Genomic DNA, 20,966 nt, shown 5'->3' with positions numbered 1-20,966 from the left:
GTCTGAGTTCAGAGTCTCCTTGGGTGGGACTTGCTATGGCTGCTGTGGGGAATGGCAGTGTGGTTCTCAGGCCAGTGGAGTTATGTTCCCAGTGGGTGATGGCTGCCTTTGCTGCGTCATGCAGGTCGCTAGAGAAGTGAGGGAAAGCCGGCAGCCACAGGCCTCACCCTGCTTCCACACAGCCCAAAAGGCCAGTCTCACTCCCACCGTGTCCCCCATCAGCACTGAGTTTATTTCCAGGCAGTGGGTGAGCAGGGCTGAGAACCTGCCCCAGGCTACCAGCCTCTTGGCTGAGAAAGCAAGCAGGGCTTTCAGGTTTCACGCCTCCCTGCCTGCTGTGGCTTCTGAGCTGCATCTGCATTCCTGATTCACCCCCTCCCCTGAGTTCTGTCCAGGTAACTTTGCCTTCTGTTGAAATTGTTACAAAGTTCAGCTCGAAGTTTCCTTCTCTCTGTAGTCTTTTCCCAGTTCCTCTGGCAGCCCTCCCCAAGGACCTCTGTGACACAGTCAGAAATGGCTTCCCTGGGGACTGAGAGAGCTCACAGGGCTCTTCCCACTGCTTCTACCCATATATTTTGCTCTCTAAATTTGTTTCAGGTCCAGGTAAGGTCAAATTCTTCTCCCGTGATCTGGACTTTTAGTTTTCCCAGTGAGGGTGTGTGTTTGGGGGCGGACAATTCCCCTTTCATATTTTCACACTTTGGGTACTCACAGTTTTTCAGCGTCTCCTGGGGCCTGCAGGAGCAATCCACTTCCATCAATGTGTCTGTGGATTCTCTCAGCTTTCCTGGTACATTCATGGGGTACTACTTGAAGCAAAAGTTTATGATGTGAGTCTCTACATGCTGCTCTGTCTGAGTGGGAGCTGCAATTTAGTCTTGCCTCCCATCCACCATTATCCTTCAGAACTCTGACACTGGGTATTTTATAAAGAAAAGAAGCTTACTGGGCTCATGGTTCTGTAGGCTATACAGGAAGCATGATACTGCCATCTACTCAGCTTCTAGGGAGGCCTCAGGAAACTTACAATCGTGGCAGAAAGTGAAGGCAGAGCAAGCACTGCATGTCACATGGCCAGAGCAGGAGCAAAAGAGTGAGGGGAGAGGTACCACACACTTTTAAGCCACGTCTCATGACAGTTCACTCACTGTGGCAAGGACGGCACCAAGGGGACGGTGCTAAACCATTCTTGAGAAATACGCTCCCATGATCCTATCAGCTCCCACCAGGTCCCACCTCCAACACTGGGGATTACATTTCAACATGAGATCTGGGCAGGGACACACATCCAAACTATATCATTTGGTGTCTTTAAAGAAAAAAACAAGGCAAAGGAATGGCATACCATAAATATTCAAAGAGATCACTCAAGAGAATTTTCCTGAAATGAGAGACTAAAATTTGTACATTTACATCTCCAGAGACATAAATGTGTTCCAGAGAAAGTTGGCCCAGATCAATCAACCCAAAGGCATATCTTATTTAAGTAATTGGACTTTAAAATGATAACAACAACAAAAAAGCCTTTGGTCAGCCAAGAAAAAAAGACCGAGCCTTTTCTTTAGCAGTAAAAGAAAACCAGCTGACTGCAGGTTTCTCCACAGTTGTATTTACTACCAGAGGATAATGGAGCCGTTTCTACAAAGTGTGCATCAAGAATTCTGTCTTTTGGTAAGTTGACCGATATGGTTTGGCTGTGTCCTCACCCAAATCTCATCTTGAATTGTAGCTCCCATAATCCCCACATGTCATGGGAGGGACCCAGTGGGAGGTAATTGAATCATGGGGGTTTGTTTTTCCCATGCTGTTCTCATGACAGTGAACAAATCTCACAAGAGCTGATGGTTTTATGAAGGGCAGTTCCCGGGCACATGCTCTTTCCTGCTGCCATGTAAGATGTGCCTTTGTACTTCTGTCTTCCACCATGATGGTGAGGCCTCCCCAGCCAAGTGGAACTGTGAGTCTGTTAAGCCACTTTTTCTTTATAAATTACCCAGTCTCAGGCATTTCTTCATAGCAGCATGAAAATGGACTAAATACACTGACATTCAAGCATATCAGCTATAGTAAAAGGTGCTTAAAGAAAGATCTCATGGATATTGTTCCCATAAGCCTTTCTTAAGGAATCTCCTCAAGGGAACCTTCAACTGATCAAGAGATGACTGGAAAAACCATGGCAAAAGCACTGATGCTGGACATTTAAAATATTTAACTGTAATGTCAAGGCTAGAGCAGATGTGAGAATCAGGATTTTTGAACAGTATGTAAATATTATTTACAACGCAGAAATGAAGTGGAAGGAAAGAGAAAATGAAGGGAGATGAACAAAGTTCATTGACTGTGTTATCTATAGTAGAGATTCAAAGGGTACCTTTTAAAAAGTTTTATTAGGAAGTAATTTCAAATTTATGGAAAGTTGCAAAAATACGAACGGTGCAAAGAACACCTATGATCCTCTTACCCTGATTCTCCTGTTATTAATATGTTACCTCATTTGCTTGTCATTAGTTCTCTCTCTTCTTTTTATGCACACATATATGTGTGTATGTGTACATACACACATACTTATATATGTAAATTTTTCTGAACCATTGGGAATAAGTTGCATATGTCTAGAGCAGTTTCCCTGGCCCTCAGTGCAGCCCAACTCTGGCCTGGATGTCCCTCTAGCCTGGTGCCACATCTTCCCTCCCACTATTCCCACTGCCCCAGTGCACCCTCAGTCCTCAGACCTAGCCTTTTTCCTCTCAGCAGAAAGCCCTTGCTCTACCCACCCAGACTAAAACTCCCCTGAATGTGCCTCTCCTTGAGTGTTAAAGAGACAAGCACTTAACTTGATTGGCAGGCTTGGGAGAAGGGGCCAGGTCCCCACTAGAGGGTGATCCCACTTGGACGGATGTGGTAAAAGGGCACTGCCCTGGTGCTTACCCTCAGCTCAGAGCCACCTGAACTGGAAGCCAGGGCCTCCTTATTTGCATAGTCTTTAGTAGTGATACTTTTATTGCAAAGGTTCATGATTTATTTAATAGAATGTTGACTGGAGCTGTTCTTATTATGTTTGATTGCATTTAGAGTCCTAAAAGTAAAAACAGTAAGTACCCAGGAGGAACAGGTCATAACCTGTTAAATAGCAGCAAAACCAGGCCAGCTACCACGAGCCTGGTCCTTGATTTAAACAGAAGTCTGGAGATACTTGAAATGAGTCATTTGAAAAAAAAGATGTCAGTCTATGAAGAGGGACACAGTGGCTTTTCCCTAGGGAAACGAAAGGAAAGCTTCCACCTTCCACCTTCAACCTATATGAAGGTGAGTTCTAAGAAAAATGCTCCTAGGATTTGGCACAAGGCACAGAAACAGCAATTCACTCTGTGCTAATCTATCCTCCATACTTTTTGAATCAGGCTAAAAGAACTGGGAGTGGTGGCAGGGCAGGAAAATCTCCCCTTCCCACTCTTTGGCATGGAAGGATGGTCTAGTGGCTACTTTGCAAGGTAGCCTGGCTTGAGCTGAGTCATCTTGTTAACAGTCTATGCAAGGTCACAGGCCTCCAGGAGGAAGAACCTCACCATGAGCTGCCAGGGCAGGAGGCCAAAGCAGATCTCTCGGGTCAGACCACTATGCGGTGGGGCACTCATTGACAACCAAGTGGGGAGATAAGAATCAACTAGGCAAGTAGAATCACTAACGCCTTCTCTCTCCCTCTTCCTCTGCCCCAATCCCAGTGGAGGAACTGACCAGGTGCCCTCCCAACTCCAGGACCTAAGGCTGACCCTTGGGGAGAGAGGAGCTGAACACTAGGTTGAACTGAAGTTTTAAAGGGACTAAACCAGACTGTAGTTTTTGTATTTGAAAATGGCCAGAAAGCTCTGGCTCCTGCATGAGATGTCTGGAGGGGGCCAGAAAGGGGACCATCTTACACCTCCTTTGGGGGCAGTGATGAAAGAAAAAAAATAAAGCAATTTCTTGCTCTAGTCTCCCGGGTTCAGGCTGCTCAATGACTTGTCTAACTGAAATAAATCTGGAAACAGGTTGTTGTGAACTTGGACACCTCAGACCACTTGTTTTTAGAAGCTGTTGAATTCAAGTTGATAGCTTATTGCTCAGCACGAACTGTTCCATGTTTCAACATTTGCAAGAAAATTAAATGTGAATGAGAAGCAGACTGATCTGAAACATGACTCTTTAGGACACTCTTTTGCCTTGAAATATGTACAATTCACAACCAGCAAATCCTAATTTGAACTAATTGACACATGTCCAACATCACTATTTTGTAATGTATTTCAGACGAGCCTATATTGCATCTGAATATCTAAGGCCATATTTCTGACTTATGAATTATTTTCTTTCAAATATGGAATGTATATTTGCCCTGAAAAAAGGAACTTTAGAAAAATGAGAAAAGGGATAAAAAGTCCCAGTTTCTTGTTACTATAGCAATAGCTACACACACTAATGTGAATTACCTGGATGCATTCTGCAGCGAGGACCATTTTATTGGTCAGGTGGGAGGTATCCAGAAATCTGTGCTCATAACCAATAAACAGAACTCCAAGCCAGTGTCTGGGAGGCCTCTGCCATTACCATAAGTGTAACCACTGCTTCCTTTTGAAACAGAAGCTTCTGGTCTCTCTGTAGAACTCCACAAGGCAGCAAGCAGGAACCTCCCCCTCTTTCCTTCCTACTCCACTTCAGAAAAGCAGACAGAAGCTGTGTTTCACTTGCTCAAGCTAAAAATAATTCATTTGTAAGTTGTGTTACTATGACTTAATCCTTCAAGGCAAAGTTAAAATAAAATTATACTTCCTGGTGGTGAAATTATACAGGCAGGGGCAGGCAGGTGTGAAGAAACCTCTTTTCCTGAGCACTGTTCTTCTGAGTGAATTTAATGTAGTGATAACAGCACAGCCTTTGGTAAAAATATCACCTTTGCACTTACTAGCTGGATAACTGTATCAGACGTATGGGCTGTTTTCCCTACCCCAACCCTCCCTTGAGGATTCATGAGCAAAGAAGAGAAAGGAAATACTAGTATAAAAACCCATTCTAACCACACAAACAGCAACAATTTCAAATATTTACAACACAGGGAATTTAATGAAGGGGATGAGTAGAACAGGTGTTGGAGGCTGCAAAGCCATGCAGAGGATAGTCAGAGACTCAGAGGTTACCTGCAGGCGGGAACTAGCACTCTTTGGCTACAGAGGCAGCCTAGGGGTGAAGAGAAGGTGCTATTACTACTTGGGTGACCAAGATGTTTGCTGAGAAATTTCTGAATTTTAGCACTGAAAGCCCTGTGTCCCAGGAAACTCCTCATTCCCAGGCAAACCTAGATGGTTGGTCATCCTCATTACTACATCCCAAAGCAGGGCCCCACAGAAACCAGGACTAGACTGCCTGTCTAGTGGGAGCTGGAGCCACACAGGAGATTCAGCAGCTGCCAGTGAAGCTGTCTTAGACAAAAGGGGTGACATCTTTCCCCTCCCCGCTCTCTCATTTCCTATCTGTGCCTCCTGTTGGCCAAACCAGCTGCCTGTCAGCTGATGTGAGAACCTCCCTTTGCCCTAAACAGAGCAGAACAGGGCATGGTTGAAGAATGGATCTGAGGGCAAAGGGGCCCAGGCTCGGCCCTGTGTCGGTAGGCAAGTCATTTCACCTCTCTGAGATTTGGTTTCCTTGTCGGCGCAGTGCTGACATAGTAGGTAGTTGTGGAAAACTAAAGAGATGTGCAAAGTGCCTAGTTTATATTTTGCACACTGTGGGCATTTGATAGACAGTAGAGTGGTAGAAAAAGATTTTTGAAATATTAGCCACTGGTTTTTATACTAGTAGTTTATTTCTCTTCTTTGCTCTTTGTATCTCAGGAGAGAGAGAAGGCAGGGGAAGTAGACTTGATCTGTTCCTAGCTTTTGCTTTCCAAAAATTTAGGCCTTTGGGTGGTGGAAAGAGTAGGACGTAGGTCTGCATGTCAGACTGCTGAAGGCATGCAATCTGATAGTCAACAAAGATTCCTCAGCAAAAGATGAGGAGAGGAGATCCAAGGAGAATCAATAACTCTGGTGGACGTTAGAGTAAAAGATCCTGTGGCTTCCTTCTGGTCAGAGCCATGTGGAGGCTCCAAAACCCAAATAGGATTCTGGTATCTGACAGGAGAAGGGAACTTGTATCCTGCTCCCTGAGCAGAGCCCCAGGGAGTTGGCAGTGCTCAAAGAGAGAGGGTGCATTTGCACATGGACAGTCCCATGGCCCGGCAGGGCCCTCACGTAGCAGAGGGAGTATGGACCTGGGAGGCAGGTGAACAGGAAGAGCATCCCTCAATAGCAACACAAGGGAATGCTTAAACACATGTTTTTCTCCTTGGATTTTAGTGGAAAGCTTTTAAACTGAAGGTTATATGAAGAAAACACTGTGGGATGCTAACAGAAAACACACCAATGTACTCACAAATAATCTGTTATTTATAGAGAGGCTGGCTAGCTGGGGTTTGATTTGCAGTTGGCATCTCTTATTTTTGGCTCTCAGTCTCTGTATCTGGGCTAAGCCAGTCATTATATTACACACCCTGCATGATTGTTTCAGTAGTAGGTGCATAGTCTCAGGGTAAAACCTTTTTCTTTTTAGCTATTGGGAAGTAGATTGTTTTCTGATTAAGGGGGTCTTCCCATGGAGCTCCGTGTGGGGACAGAGAATGAAATCAACACAGAGGTAGCTGAAGCACAGCCCAAGAAAATCGTGTTCCGGTCACATCATTTTATCCCTGGACTTTCCGGTTATTGAGCCAGTATATTCCTTTTTTGTTTAAGTCCATTACTATTGAATGTGTTGACACATCGAAAAGAGTCCTAAGTTATGATCAGGTGTGGTGGCTCACACCTGTAATCCCAGCACTTTGGGAGGCTGAGGTGGGAGGATCACTTGAGGTCAGGAGTTCAAGACTAGCCTGGCCAACATGGCGAAACCGCATCTCTGCTAAAAATACAAAAACTAGCCAGGCGTGGTGGTGCATGCCTGTAATCCCACCTACTTGGGAGGCTGGGGCAGGGGAATCCCTCGAACCCCGGAGGCGGAGGTTGCAGTGAGCCAAGATCGTGCCAGTGCACTCCATCTAGCCTGGGTGACAGAGTGAGACTCCATCTCAAAAAATAAAAATAAAAGTCCTAAGTTACACAGTAGTAAAACAATTTCTTCACCACTCCATGTGATTTTGGGTTAGTGACTCAAGAGCCTGAGCCTGTTTCATTTCTCCAGGAGGATTAAAGAAGGTAATACATTACATATAGCACCCTCAATTCTAGAATATTCGACAAATGCTCTCTACACAATATTGCATAGTGTTTAAAGAGCTCAGGTTTTGGAGCTGACCACCTGGGCTTTAATTTTAACCTTGTCCCTTACTAGCTGTGTGGCCCTGGGCAAGTTGCATATCCTTTCTGTTCTATGTTTGTTCCATGTATAAAATTGGGATAGTATTAATATCTACCCCATAGGTTTGTTCTGTGGATTAAATAATTTTTGTTAAGTGCCTAAAATGGTGCTCAGCACATAGTCAGAACTCAAAAACATGTTAACTACTACTGCATATGATAGGATGGTGTCTTTGACATAATAGGTGCTTGATTAAGTAGTTATCACGTAAATTGGAATGATAAGATGGTTTGGTGATATAGTGGATAAAGCACTGGATTTGAAGTCAGAATTTGGCTCATGCCCACCTCTGCTACTCACCTGTTCATTGACCTTTTAGAAGTCACTTAACAACCTGTATCCCAGAAATCTCGGATTGCTGTTACTGTTATTTTTGCCTGTAAAATGTAAACAATCCTTTCTGAAAAATTCAGTTTGTTGTCTCTTGACTTGGATCCAAGTTCTTGAAAGAGTTGTGGTTGTGAAATAATAATTTTAGAATTACTGTTAAAGCAGTAGTGCCCAACCTAGCAGATCATTAAAGTCATAGAAAGAGCTTTTATAATAAACCTATTCTGGGGCCCACCATCATAGATCTTTGCTGAGAGGCTGTGGGCAAGGCCTGGGCATATGCAATTTTACACAGTTCATCAGATGATATATTGATAATCACCTAGTCCTGGGAATCACTCTGCAAGGGGGCTTGGTAACTCATTGGTGAGTTTGAATTTAGCAATAGCATCTTAAATTTAAAAATATTAATTTAATGATGGTAAGTGATATGGTTTGCCTGTGTCCCCACCCAAATCTCATGTTGAATTGTAGCTCCCATAATTCCCAGATGTTGGGTGAGGGACCTGGTGAGAGAAAATTGAATCATGGGGGCGGTTTCCCCAATACTGTTCTTGTAGTAATGAATAAGTCTCACGAGATCTAGTGATTTTATAAGGGATTTCCCTTTTGTTTTTCTTCTCTCTTTTTTTTTTTTTTTTGAGATGTAGTCTCACTCTGTCACCCAGGCTGGAGTGCAGTGGCGCAATCTCGGCTCACTGCAAGCTCTGCCTCCTGGGTTCACGCCATTCTCCTGCCTCAGCCTCCCCAGTACTGGGACTACAGGCGCCCACCACTACGCCTGGCTAATTTTTTGTATTTTTAGTAGAGACAGGGTTTCACCGCATTAGCCAGGATGGTCTTGATCTCCTGACCTCGTGATCCGCCCACCTTGGCCTCCCAAGGGTTTCCCTTTTCCCTTGGTTCTCATTCTCTCTTGCTTGCTGCCATGTAAGATGTGCCTTTCACCTTCCATCATGGTTGTGAGGCCTCCCAGCCATGTGGAACTAGGGATCCATTAAATCTCTTTTTCTTTATAAATTACCCAGTCTTGGGTATGTCATTATCAGCAGTGTGATAATGACACTTTTAGCTTTTTAGATAAAGTTTTTTATGTATACATAATGATAGAATTTTAACTCTGAAATTAGGCAGAGATTATCTAGTTTCATCCACTGATTCACAAATTACTTATTGTCCAGATCTCTTGCTCTTCCTGAATCTTGGAGAGTTGCTTAAGGCCATACATTCTGTAAAATAGCTGGAATTAGAAACTGGGACTTGACTGCTCTTCCCCTTTCTCCATACAGTCATCACGACAGAACATCTATATAAGTGCCTCGAGATTTGTACCTGGGATGTGTTTTAATCATGTATGATAAGGTGACTGGTGCAGAACAACTGCCTTTGAAAGAAAAGTTGTAGTACTCAGAGTCCCCAAGAGAAGGGGGCATATGCCACACCATGCAGGGTCACATGGGGAAGCACCAGGTCAGTCGGAAGGCAGGAAGAGGAGGGAAAACATGACCACAGGCCTTTAATGTGGTTCCCACAGGAGTGCAGAACAGGGTGAACAGCTGAAGATTGGGTAGTTTAATTTTGGTGGGCTCTGGGCTATAGAGATGGTTTCTAGTCTTCTAAAACCTGGCCCTGGAATGATTCAGGGCAGGGAAACATTGGCTTGGTGTGTCAGTTAGATAAAGGAGACCGTGGGGATATCTGGATTGGTTAGTTTGCTTATGAAAAATGTGTTGGCAAGGTGGGGGAACGGGGTGGGAAATCTTGTGCTATTTCCAGGAATTAGCTGACCCCTGGAGGGGCAGTCTCTCCATATTAGCAAGACTCCCCAAGATATCAAAGCATCGTAAGATATAGAAAATAAAAAACCTGATTAATAATTTGACATGCTATTTACTTCAAGAAATAAAAGACATTGTTGTCAGTTTTCTAGCTTCAGCAAAGATAGCAGAGAGGGATATTGCCTTCTTTCCTTCCTGTGTTCTTTCTTAAACTCGAGGATGAGTCGCTAGTTTGGGAAAGGAAGGAGGCTGAGATTTACTAAATGCTGATTCTGTAATCTAATTTGTGACTAATGAGGGCAATAAAGAGTGATGAGACACATCATCAGGATCTTCGGGATGATCCTATTAGAACAAGTTTCCTATGGCATAGGAGGGGCTTCTGTGAATGTTTATTCTACCATTTCTGTTACCAGGCTTCAGAAATGTCATCTGCCAAGTACCATTTAATTTTCCCATATTTCACTCTCCCTGAGGACAGGGAATGGATGAATAATCTTTTTTTTTTTTCATGTGATGAGCAAAACAGATCCCTTAGCCCTGACCTTACTCATTCAAATACCAAATGTACTTTATTAATTAAAAAATTATACTTAAAAATATACACAGTATTCTAAGATTTGTACTATATTCTTACTTGTCAATAATAAGACACCTAATGAGCCTATATTTAAGAACCATCATCAAGCAAACCTATTATTCTTAAAAGGCTACTGATGTTTTATACAACCTGCCTGAAAAATGATTTCATTTAGATTTATTTCATCTGTATCTTTACATATGGTTTTAGTTGTAATTATTAAAGCTGCCATCTAATTCCGTATATCATTTTTGTTTTCATAATGAAGAAGTCTATTTAGTTAGCAAAATGGTGGAAATGTTCTTTATGGTAGTTAATAGCCTCTGTAGGAAATATTAATCAGCCTAACAGACACATGAATCTGAATGCAATCTTTTAATAATTTTCAAGGATAATTTGGTTTATGAAAGGGATCTGAGGATATTATATGCCCATAGGACATTTTTGTCTAGCACAAATAACAAAGTATTAAATGTAATGCTTTTAATCCAACTTTTTCTGCAATCCCTTTCTTGAAACAGTAGTATTGTAAAAAGAAAATGAGAGTCAAAAGACTTCAGTTAATATCTTGTAACCAGCTGAGCTGTCTTAAGTAGATTGACCTCATTGGAATTCAGTTTTCTCATTTTTTTAAATGGAAAAAATAATCACGCATAATTTGATGTCAATGTAAGGATTAAGTAGCATAATTTATGTAAAAGTGCTCTGTAAAACCCTTTAAAAGTGTTAAAGATTATGATCACTCTCTGAAGTTTCATAAGGCATTTGGGCTTTTTTTATTTTTTATTTTTGAGACAGAGTCTTGCTCTGTCACCCAGGCTGGAGTGCAGTGGCATGATCTAGGCTCACTGCAACCTCTGCCTCCCAGGTTCAAGCGATTCTCCTGTCTCAGCCTCCCGAGTAGCTAGGACAACAGGTGGGTGCCATCACACCTGGCTAATTTTTGTATTTTTAGTAGAGGCGGGGTTTCACCATGTTGGCCAGCCTGGTCTCAAACTCCTAACCTCAAGTGTTTCACCTGCCTCGGCCTCCCAAAGTGCTGGGATTACAGGTATCAGCCACCACGTTTGGGCACATTTGGGCTTTTGGAAAGATACGTTCCATATCTTTCTGCAACAATTATTATCTCAACAATGTCCCAATCCATTGTGCTTTTTGCAATCCCATAGTCAGTTCACATATATTATTGATTTTATCTTTAGTTTGCCCATCTGTCAAATAGGGTGGATTTTATTTTCCTTATTTTATAAAAGAAGAGACAAAAAGAAACTGCTAGTTAAGTAACAGTTCTATCATCTCAATTAGAGTCTAAGCTAAGACTTAGACCACAGGATTTCCACCCCCCTCAGTCCCCTGCTCTTCTCTGAGGTCATCTGTCTGTAAGAGCTAGCAGTCCTTGCTAGTACCATCCTCCAAATGATTTTCTAGGTGCAGAGTTAAGAAAAATATCTTTTTCAGGGATGTGACTGCTTGCTTTTTGGCTGTGAGAAAATGTCTTTTCTGGGACACAGTGTAGCCAGGAGCAGAAAGGCAGGCACTCCTCAGCACTGGCTGTCCCCTGTCCCCTGGTGAGTCTGAGCCATCTCTTGGGTGGCCAGATCTATACTGTGTAGAGCAATTGTGCATGTCCTTCCAAACTGTTAAATAAGTCAAGTAAAAATAGATGTGTGGCAGCATTCTTCTATCCGACAAAACCCTCTCTGTGTCACATCACCTAGCAGCACACATTTATTGAGTACTTTGAAGGGGGATTGGGAAGCTGACAGGAAACAGGTGGTCTCTACCCATGCTGTGCCAGCTGGGCTGCTCAGGCACAGGACCAGAGAAAACTCACTGGACTTGAGCCTGGGTTTGGATCCTTCGAAGATGATGCTGCCAAGTTTCCAAAGGCAAAAGGTTAAGGGCAGTGTTGCTAGAGTTGCTGAAGCTGGAATCTAGGTCAGTACTGAGTGTAGGAGGAGGGCGTAAGTCCCAGTATTTCCAAGAGTGGGGTCTTATAGGTGGATGCACAGGAGGAGGTTAGGTTGGCAAGGTAGGAGACAGCATGAGTAAAGAGATGCAGATATTCTCTCAGTAAAATGAGTATTACGGGGTACAGAGGTACTTGTGGCCATCAGATCATAGAAGACTTGAGTGTCAGGTTAAGAAATTACTTCGTCTGCTAATTCATCATATCAGAACATAAGTATCAATACAATTTCCTTACAGTTCCTTTGAAAATATTACTGGTCATGCATTGTTACTCAGTGGATTAGGAGAAGGGAGAGTCCTCCCAAATAAAACCATCCTACCTGCTGGCACCCTCACAACCACTTTTTCCAGCAGAACAGGCCGGATATCCTAGGTTTTCCATTTGATGATGAGTCATGATAATTGCCTCAGATGAATTTAATGTGTCACAAATACCTGGCATAGACTCATTTCTATTTCTACTGAGAATTTGTTTTTTCTGAACCTTCAAATGTACCAGCTCATTTGTCTGATTTTGGTTTGCAGGGGGATGCTGGTTTAACAAATTGCCTCATTAGTGGTTCTATAATGGGAACACTTACTAATGCTGCTGGTTTCTTCCAGGTGCTGAGACACCTTGCGTTGTCACAGCACTGATGTGAGTCAGATACTAACAATGGTGTCCTTTGTTTTTATGAGAGATGAAACTGAAACACTTCTCATGATGTCGCTAGGTAACAGAATATATCTGCAATTTTCACTCTATAGGCAGACTCTCTCTTTCTTCCTATTTGTACTCATAGATTTTAGTTATCCATGGAGAAAACAGCACTAGGCATAGATTCTGGACTCGAGGGGCCTTGTGTCTACCACACAATAAATGTAGATCTTTGGTAAGTCGACTTTGCTGATTTCTGCCCCAGTTATATTATTGGTAAAGTGAAGAATTTGAAAAGAATTTAAGGTGGAGTTTCCCTTCATTATTCACTCAGCAAACATTTATTAAGTGCCTACTATGTATCAGGAACAGGGCTAATTCCTGGGAGTATAAAGCAGAGAAAATGACAGTCCTTGCCCTCAACATGCCTCCTGTCTAGTAGAAGGATCCCACACATGCTACAGAGAACAGTTAGTGAAATTATGGAATAAAGCTCAGGGAACTATGTGAATGTAAAATGAATGCACCAAAAATTGAGGATACTTTCTGTATTAATCTGTTCTCACACTGCTATAATGAACTACCTGAGACAGGGTAATTTATCAAGAAAGAGGTTTAATTGACTCACAGTTCTTCAGGCTGTACAGGAAGCATTGTTGAGGAGGCCTCAGGAAACTTACAATCATGGTGGAAGGGTAAAGGGGAAGCAAGTACCTTCTTCACGTGGCGGCAGGAGAGAAAGAAAGTGTAGGGGGAAGTGTCACATATTTTTAAAACATCAGAGTACGTGAGAACTCACTATCATGAGAACAGCATGGGGGAAATCCACCCGCATGATCCAATAACCTCCCACCACATCTTGCCCCCAGCATTGGAAATTACAATTCAACATGAGATTTGGGTGGGGACACAGAGCCAAACCATAACACTTTCTCACTGTATGAACATTGATGGCAAGTTTGAGTTCAGACTGCTAGACTGGCTTCTCTATTAGAACATTCACAACTCAACACCATTGCCATGAAATAAAAACAAGGATGTTGGATATGTTAAAAGGAATAAAAATCATTAAAAATTGCACAAAGTTAAAAAAAAAAAAAGCCCAACAGCTTTTTAATTCACACAGGAAGCAACACCTAGTGGTCAAGACTTCATCCTTTCAAGAAGTCACCTGGGATTAAATCCTAGCTCTGCTTTATTAACTTGATTATTTATGCAAGTTCATCTGTACCTTATTTTCTTACCTATAAAATGAAGAAGACAACCTATCTCACAGGTTTGTTGGAAGTAACAAGTGAGACAATAAAGGTTAGGTGTTTTATAGGCAATTTATAGACCTCATTTATTTTTTAATTTATAAGATTTCAACACCTTTTTGTAGGCCCTCAAAGTAGGACAAAATGGCTTTTATTTATTTATTTATTTTTGAGACAGAGTTTCATTCTGTCACCCAGCCTGGAGTGCAATAGTGCGATCTCGGCTCACTGCAACCGCTGCCCCGCTGGGTTCAAGCGATTCTCCTGCCTCAGCCTCCCAAGTAGCTGGGATTACAGGCATGCACCACCACGCCCAGCTACTTTTTGTATTTTCAGTAGAGATGGGGTTTCACCATGTTGGCTAGACTGGTCTCCAACTCCTGACCTCAAGTGATCCACTTGCCTTGGCCTCCCAAAGTGTGGGATTACAGGCGTGAGCCACCATGCCAGGCCAAAAATGGCTTTTAAATTTCAGTTGTCTTTAATACACATTGCTGGAAATTCTGTCTCATTTTTCTCTACTCATCAGTAGGAACCCTGAGTTGATACAGAGCTGGCTGTTAAAGTGGTGTTAACAGTATCGACATTGGTCTGGGCTCTGTAGCTTTAAAATAAAGAAACCAATTAGTACCTTAAGAAAATAAGATGGTCAAGAGTTTCTATATATGGTAAAATTTGTCATGGAAGTTCTAACTGGGGAATCACATTTGCTATTAATACTCTCCACCACCGCATCATAAAGATCAAAGTGCTTCCCTTCCTTGGATTGCGTAGGTGGCACTCCCACTGTCGGGTTTTATAAGACACACACTGTCAGCTGTGTGAGGTACAATGGCTATTTTCCTAGGGAAAGGAAATCTCAAGGACCAGCTGCATAAACACAAGAATGTATAGATATTTAATTCAACTTATGGCCTCCAAAACCATTAGATTCTTATAGCTGTACCTCTGTTTCATGTTACAGCTAAGTAGCTCACTCTATAGCCCATCCATGGAGACATTCTATTCTTTCTCATTAAGCACCAGGTAAGCCATCTATATTCCAATTGGAAAGCGCTTCTCTGCAGATGTTTTAAACATGATCTGCCAGGTCTGTCCTTTCCAGAGGCCCATTTGTGCCCTCTCTAGCTATAGATACCTACCCAGAGAGGTCCCCTAAAATGGAGTACTTCCTTGTTTTGTAAAAACCTTCCTCTTTTCCATCATCCTTCCTGCCCTCACTATCTCAAAATAGCAACTTTTACAAGCCAATCCATGTTAATTCATTTTTAAGGATGAGGAAACTGAACCCCAGAGCGTTTGTGAATATTGCACCACTTCTCATGGTCCCTGAGTCAGTACTCCATGCTTTTGCCACAACCCCGTACTGACTAGTTATCTGACAGTCTTTCATGAGGTCTGAAACATGTCTGAAACTTTTGCTTGTGTTAATATGAGAAGTCAACATTCACACTATAACTAGAATAAAGGGTGACTAGCCCTACGAGAGATTAAGATATTAATTATAAAACTACAGAAATCATGACAGCATGGTATTAGGGCAGGGATAAACAAATAAATAGAATTAATTAAATCAAGGAACAGAATTACATAGATATCACATTACAGAGCAGTGGGGAAATGAATCAAGAAATAGTCCTGGAAAAATTGGGTTCTATCTCAATAGGATGTATTAACTTAATAGGAGGTAAATAACTTGGAGTCCTACTCCAGCCAATGTTCACAAATGAATTCCAGGTGGACCAAAGGCAGAAATATGGAAAGTAAACATTTTATATTTATAGATGTCAGAGAATACTTCTGTTACCTTAACATGGAAAATGGGTTCTTAAAAATACCCAAATATAAAGACAAATAAATATTAAAATTTAAAACTTCTTCACAACAAAAGACAACATAGACAGCTCAAAGGCAAAGCATAAATTGGCAGAGGGTATTTTCACACATTAGGCCCCACAAAGGAGTAATTACCAGACCATAAACTCTTTAAAATTTCTAAAACTCAATATGAAATAAATGTAAGTAACCCACTAAAAATGAGCAGCAAATACCAGTGGCCAATTCAAAAAAGAAGAAAACACTAAAGGCCAATAAATGTGAAAAGTTGGTTATCCTTTCTGTTGTCAACTCCAAAACAGCCAATCCTTCAAGGTGGATCCTGAGCGACTAATTGGGCTTAAATTCAAAATGCAGCCAAGTATCCATTTGCTGACTAGAGACCACACACATATCCTGCATTCTCAGAAAAACCACAGGCTAGGGGAACTTTGGGACTCTCATAGCTATCTGTTCCTGTTTACACTGCCTCAATCAACACTGCCAGAAAGTTCCTGGACCTAACCACTAGATTCTGGCACCTGGACCTAACCACTAGACTGTAACCTGTGATAAATCTTAACATCAACCAATCAGAACAAATAATCAGCCACCCCTTATTTGCACAGCAGACAAGCGGAAACCTGGGTGACAACTTTCTCTATAAAAAGCAACTTCTGTCTTTGTTCTGGCGGAGTGTACCTCTGTTTTGTACTGAAGGCTGCATCTCCCTGGTTTGCAAACTGCTTGCTGCAACAAAGTCTCTTTAATTTAAAACATTTTTGTTTCCTTTTCAGTGGATTTGTTAACACTATTAACTAAGGAAATGAAAACTAAAATCACAATAAGATGTAATCTCACACCCTTCAGATTGCTAAAAATGTCAGTCTGACAATTCCAAGACTTGGCAGAGATGTAGATCAACAGGATCTCTTACACACTGCAAGTGGGAATCTATATTGGCATAACCAACTTTGGACAGTAGTTTGGCAATATTTAGCTAAGTTGAAGATGCATATATCTTCAACTTGGCAATTACATTCTTAATACTATACCCTGGAGAAATTGTTGCACATATGTACAAGGAAACATACACAAATGTTTATGGCAGGATTGTTTGTATGGAAAAAGTAGCAGACTACCTATAAAAGACTATTAATAGAAGATCAGGTGATTACATTGTGAATCTTCATGGACCTGAATGTTGTACAGCAATGAAAAGGAATGAATAAGCTAGAAGTAATTAAATCAACCTAAATAAATCCCCTAAACATAATGCAGAATGTAAAAAAGAGCAGTTGTCGAAATACATAATAGCATGTTATATAGGGTTTAAAGCATATAAAATAATATAATGTTTTTTGATACGTACATATGTAATTATAAAGAAATCAAAAAGAAATATACTGAAACATTAAATATTAAATTAAAGTTAATTTGGTGGGAAATGGTATGGGATCTTGGAATGTTACACAGGTGCTAGTCTCGTTAGTGCTGGTAGCACTTCTCAAACAGAATCTTGAGTATATCTGGAATGTATCATCATAACTTTTCTAATTAGAGGGAAGACATACGAGCATGAATAACTTTTACTGGGTACATCACAAGTACTTGGTAATGTGCTACCTGTTTTTACATTTATCATTTCATTCAATGCTCACAGCTGTTCCTCTTCTAATTTCATGGTTTACAAGGAAAACATTTTATTTACATTCTAATATACATTCCACATTATTAGTGGAATCAATGTACTGGACAATCAGAGTTATAGATTCCAGTGTAGCCCCTGACACTGACTAGCTCTATGGCCTGAAGCAACTTACTTAATCTCTTTGGACCTCTGCTTCCTCATTTATAAAATGAGAGGGTTGAACTAGATGAATACTTAGACTCCTTCCATGATTGTTCCCTGAGTTAGGTTATTGATCTTAATAATTTATTAAGAATATTTTATTAAAATAATTAACCAAAGCAGAAATTATAGGAAACTTTCAGATGGGAGTAGTAACTTGCAGTTATCAAGGAACTGGCCTGAATATTACAATGAACATATAATCTGATAAAATACGCCTATTGTAAAAAATGTTTTAAAAAGACTTTTCTTAAATATAGGGTAGAAAATCTACTCCTACATGAACTGACCCAGATTCTAATTAGGCAGATTTTGCTGTGTCAGATTCTTTTTACTGCACTGCATTGTGCTATAAAACCGAATTAATTGGTACTATACTTTGAGAATTGGTCTCTATGGTTAGCCTATCTATTTTAAATAGAAATGGAATCGAAAAAGACTCTGTTAACATGACCCGATCACCACAATCAAGAAATCTCCACATAACGTTCTTAAAAAAACAGCTAACTAGTCTCTCCCTGAAGTTATTTCTTGTTGCATTTTTTCATTTCCGTTCCTTTTATAGGTATGCAATTTTATGACACAGTTATAGGATGTATAAATGTGTAGCTCTACAGAAATATTCATGAGGGATATGTCAGTCCGTCTATAGAATCTTACTAATTGTCTAGAAACAAAATGCCCCTGTCCTGGATACCAAGGGAAAAGTATTGACAAATTCTTGCTCAATAGCTCCCTTTTCTTTAGACCTCCAGTACTCCTCAGAAATGGTATTAATATATTACCATCCCAAATAGGCCAGCTGCAACACAATTTAGTAGATTAGAGTTTCCTTACATTTCAATCCAGTCTGGTTTTCCTGAAAATACAGTCTTACCCTTGATGGAACTCTGAGAAAGAAAACAAAGAATTAATATAGGAAACTAACATTTATTGAGCACTGATTTCCTTTGCACAACAGGAAGCACTTTTGCATTTTGTAGCATCTCATTAAAGCATCTCAACAACATATCCAAACAAGTAGTCTCGAATGAATTTAAAAATAAAACATTAATACCTAAAATAAAATAACAAGGATTATTTTAAAATAAAGATAGGCATTTGCAACAAAACAAGAACAAAAGAAAAGATAATGAAGACAAAAGAAAGTGGCTGTATTAGTCCATTCTCACACTGTTATAAAGAAACTTATGGAGACTGTGTAATTTCTTTTTCTTTTTTTTTCTTTTTTTGAGACGGAGTCTCGCTCTGTTGCCCAGGCTGGAGTGCAGTGACGCTATCTTGGCTCACTACAAGCTCTGCCTCCTGGGTTCATGCCATTCTCCTGCCTCAACCTCCTCAGTAGCTGGGACTACAGGCACCCGCCACCATGCCCGGCTAATTTTTTGTATTTTTAGTAGAGACGGGGTTTCACTGTGTTAGCCAGGATGGTCTTGATCTCCTGACCTCGTGATCTGCCCACCTTGGCCTCCTAAAGTGCTAGGATTACAGGCGTGAGCCACTGCGCCCAGCTGAGACTGTGTAATTTCTAATGGAAAGAGGTTTAATTGACTCAAAGTTCAGGAAACTTACCATCATGGTGAAGGGTGAAGGGGAAGTAAGGCACATCTTACATGGTGGCAGGAGAGAAGTGAGAGCACAGGAAAAACTGCCACTTTTGAAACCATCAGATCTCATAAGAACTCCCTTCACTATCAGGAGAACAGCATAGGTGAAACCTCCCCCATGATCCAGTCACCTTCCAACAGGTCCCTGCCTCAACATGTGAGGATTACAATTCCAGATGGGATTTGGGTGGGGACACAGAGCCAAACCATATCAGTGGCAATATTAATACCAATTAAAATATAGCTTAAAACCATAAGCCTGAAATGGGTCACAGTGATACAGATAGGAAGCAAGAAAATACTGGCTAGAAGAGGGCGGTTCCCTGGCAAAGACCCCACCCTCAAGCCTGGAAACTGCAGCCCTAAAGGAGAACAGTTATCCTTGTTTTCCCACCCTAATGTTGCTTTTTCTAAAACCACCCTGGCCTGCCATGCCCCCATCCTGTACCCATAAAATCCCCAAATTCCACTGTCAGAGGAGCAGAGTGGTGCGGCAGAGAAGGAGAAAGGAGGACAAGTGACTGAACGTTAAGAGGAGAAGAAGCAACTGAGTGTCAGAGAATATGGATAGATGAAGCTTAACTTCAGATGCCACAACTTCGGAGAGGAGCCCGGCTGTCTCTGGCTGGCCTTCTGGGAAATCTCCCCTTCTTCCCACACCATCCCCTTTTTAGCTCCCCTTCTGCAGAGGGCTACTTCCACCACTTAATAAAATCATCCGCGTTCATCACCTTTCAAACCATTCATGAGACCTGATTCTTCCCGGACGCCAAACAAGAACTTGGGTACCAAGAAGGCAGGGTGTAAAAGGCTGTCACCCTGACTCTTCACTGAGCTGGTTAACACTTAGCCATCTGCAGACAGCAACTGCTACAAGAGCATTAATTTTAACATACCCCAGACGCTGCCATGGGGACAAAGCCCAGAAGCACTTGCCCTGGCACCCACTCATCTGCATGCTCACCCTTCCACAAGCAGTTTGATTGCAGGCGGTGGCCAAGTAAGCGAGCCACCTCCTTGTTGCAAGTCCTGTGAAGGGGTAAAGGGAACTCTCTTGTCTCAAGAGGTATACTATATTATGATGAATATGCAATGCATAAAAAAGATATAATCTGAAAACTTTAAATACCAAACAATAAAGCTATGAAATACATAAAGACTCTCAGATATTCAAGATTCTGATAAAATTAATATAATAGCACAAAACATAGTCATCTCTTGTGGAATTTGACAAGTCATAACCAAAAATTTGTGTAATAAACAAGTTCAGTGTAAAGGTATTTATAGATATTTATTTCTTACAAACAAAAATACACATTATTCTCTTATGTCCATGAAGCATTCACAAAAATCAATTACATATTAACTCAGAAGTAAACGTTTAGTGCATTACTTAAGGTAGAGATTTTACAAGAACATTCTTGGAGAAAATACAACAAAACTATAAAGAAATAAGAAAAATATAAACACAGAAATTAAAAATATATTAATAGCAAACTTCTGGGAGGAAAAATAAAGACCAAAATAACAGTTTCTGAAAAAGATAAAGCTTCTTATAAAAATCGAGGAATATCAAGGCCTGAAAGCACAAATGTTGTTAGGGGCCAAGCAGAGAGTTACCTGCTTAAAACAAGAAACATCTTGTTTTAAGTCAATGGAGAATGGTGAGAACTAAGGGGAACTGGAGAATAGATACCGAGCCTAAGTAATTTGAA

The 20,966-nt window shown here is 41.1% G+C and overlaps 3 annotated features.

Annotated features, from left to right (window-relative positions):
* Positions 4,695–4,784: an enhancer, noted in NCBI's record as "active region_25061". NCBI's record gives its function as "activates an Ori minimal core promoter by ATAC-STARR-seq in GM12878 lymphoblastoid cells {active_cell/tissue: GM12878}" and the evidence as "EXISTENCE:reporter gene assay evidence [ECO:0000049][PMID:35858748]".
* Positions 11,897–13,096: an enhancer, noted in NCBI's record as "P300/CBP strongly-dependent group 1 enhancer chr6:130838308-130839507 (GRCh37/hg19 assembly coordinates)". NCBI's record gives its function as "activates an origin of replication core promoter dependent on BRD2, BRD4, P300/CBP, MED14 and CDK7 cofactors, with strong dependence on P300/CBP, by STARR-seq in HCT116 cells {active_cell/tissue: HCT116}" and the evidence as "EXISTENCE:reporter gene assay evidence [ECO:0000049][PMID:35650434]".
* Positions 16,123–16,272: an enhancer, noted in NCBI's record as "active region_25060". NCBI's record gives its function as "activates an Ori minimal core promoter by ATAC-STARR-seq in GM12878 lymphoblastoid cells {active_cell/tissue: GM12878}" and the evidence as "EXISTENCE:reporter gene assay evidence [ECO:0000049][PMID:35858748]".

The sequence above is a fragment of the Homo sapiens genome, chromosome 6 (genome assembly GCF_000001405.40).
Source record: "Homo sapiens chromosome 6, GRCh38.p14 Primary Assembly".
NCBI lineage: Eukaryota > Metazoa > Chordata > Mammalia > Primates > Hominidae > Homo > Homo sapiens.
This window is presented reverse-complemented; position numbering and strand designations above follow the sequence as displayed.